Genomic DNA, 6,188 nt, shown 5'->3' with positions numbered 1-6,188 from the left:
TTTCTGAGTTCTGATTGGGAAAGAGAAAAAAGGAGCAGTATCTGACATTTGGAAGCTGACTTGGCTCTCACACGAGGTCTTATTATTGTCTGACTAGACATAAACAATCTCACAGAATACTAAACTCAGACAAGTTTACTAACCTCAGACAAGATCATGATGAAAGGAGACAAGTCAAGGACATTTCATAATTCTGTCTAAACACAGATAGAAACAAGGTCACTATGACACCCACAAAGTATCAAACATCCTTTTACCTCTTCAAAGTTTGTGACTGATATTTATCAATTACATCTCTTTCTTATCAGTAAAGTTTATCGAGATACGCTCTCATAGATGCTCCTCTGCTTCAGACAGCATACAACTTTGAGTGAACCCCCACTTTTGTAGGTTCTCCCCCAAATTACCCAGCCAAAGACAACTTACTGAGATACCCTACGATTTTCGATGCAACAAGTAATAAGCCAAATCTTCTTCAACTAGAGGGCATTCCCTGTGGGTTTTGGTTGTAAGACATTCACATACTTTTGATCCTTTTTTCAGCTTCTTATTAGTTATTTGAAAACATTATTTAGGTATTCTGGTGTTTGATTTTTATCTATAAAGTGGAGATAGAAATAGCAACCATAATACTGTTAAGAATATTAATTCAGATATGCAATATAAAATAACCTAATGGTGCTGTAATACAGAAAGTATTCAAAAATTATTATTCACATCATTATATATTATATTCATTATCTTTCTCCTTCTTTCCTGAGTTTCCCACAATTTAATTATAAAAAAACTTTTCTTTCATAAGCTTAGTTGGGAATCAGAATTTTGACAATGGATTGGGCAAATGAATAGCAACTGTTCTGATTTTACTTGACTGTCATACCCTGAGAGAAAAACAAAACAAAACAAAACAAAAAACTCTGATTGTGGCGAAGTGGGGTCCTCTCCGTTCATGCCCACGAAGATCTCTAGGCATTCAGGACATCTGCTCATCTGAACCAGCAGCCTAAGCCAGCCCACCCTTCCTGTGTAGAGACTGTGGTGAGATAGGACCCTATACACTTTATGCCCGGGCAGATCTTCAGGCATCTGGAGTACCCACTCTCCTGGATTAGGGGTTTAAACTTCCCATTCTGCCCATGTAGAGAACATGGACTGAAGAGGTTTCCCAGATCCACACTTAGGCACACTTCTGGGTTCTTGGTGGCCACCTACTGAATTCTCCCTTGTCACTGGTGCCTGTCATCAGGGGACCTGTAGGATCTGCACAGTCCTGCTCCACCCATCTTGCCTCCCACTCCTGTGGGGCTGACCAGGGAGCTCAGACCACTGTGAACTCCACAGATCAGCCCATTGTGAGAGGCAACAGAGAGCTTCTCCCGGTAAACAAGGATCAAGATATACCCAGCTGCTTTGGCCACAGCCAGCTCTATCCATAAGTGCTATCTATGGGCTTATAGGTCAAACCATATAGCCCAATATAAAACCTGCTGACAGAAGTGCATCGGGCTATAGAAGCAAAGCCAAAAGACCCTACCCAACATTCTTTATTGTCACACCCCCTAGGGAGTGGGTAAAGGGAAAGAGAAAAAAATATTATAGGGAAAGAAAGAAAAAGGAAGAAAGAAAGAAAGTAAATATCCTATCTGCATGAAAAAAGTTACAAAAATTAGAAGTGCTAGCATCTCCAGATGAGAAGGATCCAGTACAAGAATTCTGACACCATGAAAAATCTGAATGTCGTGATACCACCAAAGGATCACATGAGCTCTCCAGCATTGATTCTTATCCAAAATGGAAACTCAGAACTGACAGATAAAGAATTCAAAATATGAATTGCAAGGAAGCTTAATGAGATCCAAGACAAGGTGGAAAATCAAAGGAAATAAATTTCTAAAGCAGTCCAGGAAATGAAGGAAGAGATAAGTGTCTTAAAAAGAAATCAGTCAGAGCATCTGGAATTGGAAAACTCACTTGAGAAATTTTAAAATACAATTCAATTTATCAACAGACAAGATGAAGCAGAAGAAAGATTTCAGAGCTTGAGGACTAGTCTTTCACATTAGCCCAGTCAGATAAAAATAAAGAAAAAAGAATTTTACAAAATGAACAAAGTCTTCAAGAAATATTGTGTAAAGTGACCAAGCCTATGAATTATTGGCATTCCTGAGAGTGAAGGAGAAAAAGTAAATAATCTGGAAAACATATTTGAAGGAATAATAATTCAAGAAAATTTGTCCAATCTTGCTGGAGGTAGAAATCCTTGTTTCTGGATTTCTACCTCTAGCAAGAGTGAGACTCTGTTTCAAAAAAACAAAAATCCATATACAAGGAATCCAGAGAACACCTGTGAGATACTGTATAAAACAAACATCACTAAGACATACAGTTACTGGGCTATCCAAGGTCAATGCTAAAGAAAAAAATTTTAAAGGCAGCTAGGGAAAAACATCAGATCACATAAAAAGGAAGCCTCATCAGGCTAACAGTTGACTTTCAACAGAAATCTTACAAGCCAGGAAAGATTGGGGGCTTATTTTCAGCAGGCTTAAAGAAAATAAATGCCAAACTAGAATTTCATATTTTGCCCAGCTAAGCTTTATAAGCAAAGGAGAAATACAATCTTTTTCTGACAAATGAGCTCCAGGAAAATGTGTTACCACTAGACCAACCTCACAAGAGATCCTTAAGGGAGTTCTAAACATGAAAATGAAAGAACAATACCTGCTACCATAAAAACAAACAACAACAACAAATAACCACACTTAAGTACATGGACCACAGATGCTATAAAGAAACCACACAATGGAAACTACAAAGCAACCAGCTATCAACTTCATGATAGGATCAAAACCTCACATATCTATATTAACCTTGAATGTAAATGGTCTAAACACCCCACTTAAAAGGCACCGAATGGGAAATTAGATAAAAAAACAAAACTCACTTGTCTTCTGTCTTCAAGAGACCCATCTCACATGTAACAGCACCAGTAGGCTCAGAATAAAGGGTTGGAGAGAGATCTACCATGCAAACTGAAAACAAAAAAGAACAGAGATAATCATTCTTATATCAGATAAAACAGACTTTAAATTATAAAAAAGTAAAAAAGGACAAAGAAGGACATTACATAATGATAAAGGTTTCAATTCAACAGGAAGATTTAAGTATCCTAAATATATATGAACCCAATATTGGAGCGCCAGATTCATAAAACATACTTCTAGACTTCCCAAAAGACTTAGCCACATGGTAATAGAGGAGGCCTTCAACACCCCACTGACAGCATTAGACAGATCATCGAGCAATAAAACTAACAAATTCTGGACTTAAAATTGACATATGACCAATTGGACTTAATAGGCATCCACAGAATACCCCATCCATCAACCACAGAATATGCATTCTTCTTGTCTGCACGTGGAACGTACTCCAAGATCAACCATGTGCCCAGCCATAAAGCTAGTCTCAATAAATTCAAAAAAATGAAAATAATACCAAGCATACTCTTGGATCACTGTGGAACGAAAGTAAAAATTAATACTAGGAAGATGTCTCCAAAACTACACAATTATCTGGAAATTAAGTAACTTGCTCCTGAATAACTTTTGTGTAAACAATACTAAGGCAGAAATTAAAAAAATATTTGAAATAAATAAAAACAGAAGCAAAACATATCACAATCTCTGAAATGCATCAAAAGCAGTGTTAAGAAGAGAGTATATAGCACTAAATGCCTACCTCGAGAGGGTAGAAATATCTCAAATTAATGAACTAATGTGACACCTAGAAGGACTAGAAAATGAAGAGCAAACTAATTCCAAAGCTAGCGGGAGAAAATAAATACTAAAATTATAGCAGAACTGAATGAAGTTGGGACCCAATAATCCAAAGAACTGATGAAACTATAATTTGATTTTTTGAAAGGATAAACAGGATTGAGATTGCTAGCTAGATTAACAAAGAAAAAAGAGAAAAGATAGAAATAAGCATGATCAGAAATGACAAAGGTGATATTATAGCCAATCCCATGGAAATACAAAAGATCTTCAGAGACTCTTATGAACACCTCTATACACACAAACTAGAAAATGCAGAAGAAATGAATAAATTCCTGGAAACATACAACCTCTTAGGGTTGAATCAAGAAGAAGTTAAAACACTGAACAGACCAATATTGAGTGCTGAAACTTAATGGGTAATAAAAAACCTACCAACAAGAAAAAGCCCTGGACCAGATGGATTCACAGCCAAATTCTACCAGATGTCCAAAGAAGGGCTAGTGCCAATTCCAGTGAAATTATTCCAGAAAATGAACAAGGAAGGACTTCTCCACAGTTTATTTTATAAATCCAGCATCACCTTGATACCAAAACCTGGCAAAGACACAACAAAAAAGACAACTACAGGCCAGTATTCCTGATGTGTATAGATGCAAAAATCATCAACAAAATACTAGCAAACTGAATTCAGCAGCTCATCAAAAAGTTAGTTTGCCATAGTGAAGTAGGTTTCATTCTTGGGCTGTAAGTTTGGTTCAATGTATGCAAATCAATAAATGTAATTTACCACATAAACAGTATTAAAAGAAAAAAACCATGTAATCTTCTCAATAGATGCAGAAAAAGCTTTCTATTAAATCCAACATCCCTTCATGTTAAAGTCCTCAAGGAACCAGACATTGAAGGAGCATACCTCAAAATAATGAAAACCATTTATGACAAACCCACAGCCAACCTCATACTGAACAGGCAAAAGCTGGAAACATTTCCCTTAAGAGCAGGAACGAGGAGCCAAGATGGCCGAATAGGAACAGCTCCAGTCTACAGCTCCCAGCGTGAGCGGCGCAGAAGACGGGTGATTTCTGCATTTCCATCTGAGGTACCGGGTTCATCTCACTAGGGAGTGCCAGACAGTGGGCGCAGGTCAGTGGGTGCGCGCACCATGCGTGAGCCGAAGCAGGGCGAGGCATTGCCTCACCTGGGAAGCGCAAGGGGTCAGGGAGTTCCCTTTCCGAGTCAAAGAAAGGGGTGACGGACGCACCTGGAAAATCGGGTCACTCCCACCCGAATATTGAGCTTTTCAGACCGGCTTAAAAAACGGCGCACCACGAGATTATATCCCACACCTGGCTCGGAGGGTCCTACGCCCACAGAATCTCGCTGATTGCTAGCACAGCAGTCTGAGATCAAACTGCAAGGCGGCAGCGAGGCTGGGGGAGGGGCGCCCGCCATTGCCCAGGCTTGCTTAGGTAAACAAAGCAGCCAGGAAGCTAGAACTGGGTGGAGCCCACCACAGCTCAAGGAGGCCTGCCTGCCTCTGTAGGCTCCACCTCTGGGGGCAGGGCACAGACAAACAAAAAGACAGCAGTAACCTCTGCAGACTTAAATGTCCCTGTCTGACAGCTTTGAAGAGAGCAGTGGTTCTCCCAGCACGCAGCTGGAGATCTGAGAACCGGCAGACTGCCTCCTCAAGTGGGTCCCTGACCCCTGACCCCTGAGCAGCCTAACTGGGAGGCACCCCCCAGCAGGGGCACACTGACACCTCACACGGCAGGGTATTCCAACAGACCTGCAGCTGAGGGTCCTGTCTGTTAGAAGGAAAACTAACAAACAGAAAGGACATCCACACCAAAAACCCATCTGTACAACACCATCATCAAAGACCAAAAGTAGATAAAACCACAAAGATGGGGAAAAAACAGAACAGAAAAACTGGAAACTCTAAAACGCAGAGCGCCTCTCCTCCTCCAAAGGAACGCAGTTCCTCACCAGCAACGGAACAAAGCTGGATGGAGAATGACTTTGACGAGCTGAGAGAAGAAGGCTTCAGACGATCAAAATACTCTGAGCTATGGGAGGACATTGAAACCAAAGTCAAAGAAGTTGAAAACTTTGAAAAAAATTTAGAAGAATGTATAACTAGAATAACCAATACAGAGAAGTGCTTAAAGGAGCTGATGGAGCTGAAAACCAAGGCTCGAGAACTACGTGAAGAATGCAGAAGCCTCAGGAGCCGATGCGATCAACTGGAAGAAAGGGTATCAGCAATGGAAGATGAAATGAGTGAAATGAAGCGAGAAGGGAAGTTTAGAGAAAAAAGAATAAAAAGAAATGAGCAAAGCCTCGAAGAAATATGGGACTATGTGAAAAGACCAAATCTACGTCTGATTGGTGTACCTGAAAGTGATG

At 39.9% G+C, this 6,188-nt stretch overlaps 2 annotated features.

The window, feature by feature from the left end:
* Positions 4,503-5,087: an enhancer, noted in NCBI's record as "H3K27ac-H3K4me1 hESC enhancer chr5:30823801-30824385 (GRCh37/hg19 assembly coordinates)". NCBI's record gives its function as "activates a minimal SCP1, AML or CMV promoter by ChIP-STARR-seq in primed H9 embryonic stem cells {active_cell/tissue: H9 hESC(primed)}" and the evidence as "EXISTENCE:reporter gene assay evidence [ECO:0000049][PMID:30033119]".
* Positions 5,088-5,672: an enhancer, noted in NCBI's record as "H3K27ac-H3K4me1 hESC enhancer chr5:30823216-30823800 (GRCh37/hg19 assembly coordinates)". NCBI's record gives its function as "activates a minimal SCP1, AML or CMV promoter by ChIP-STARR-seq in primed H9 embryonic stem cells {active_cell/tissue: H9 hESC(primed)}" and the evidence as "EXISTENCE:reporter gene assay evidence [ECO:0000049][PMID:30033119]".

Source organism: Homo sapiens, chromosome 5 (assembly GCF_000001405.40).
Source record: "Homo sapiens chromosome 5, GRCh38.p14 Primary Assembly".
NCBI lineage: Eukaryota > Metazoa > Chordata > Mammalia > Primates > Hominidae > Homo > Homo sapiens.
The sequence above is the reverse complement of the archived record's forward strand: the minus strand, read 5'-3'. Positions and strand labels throughout refer to the sequence as shown.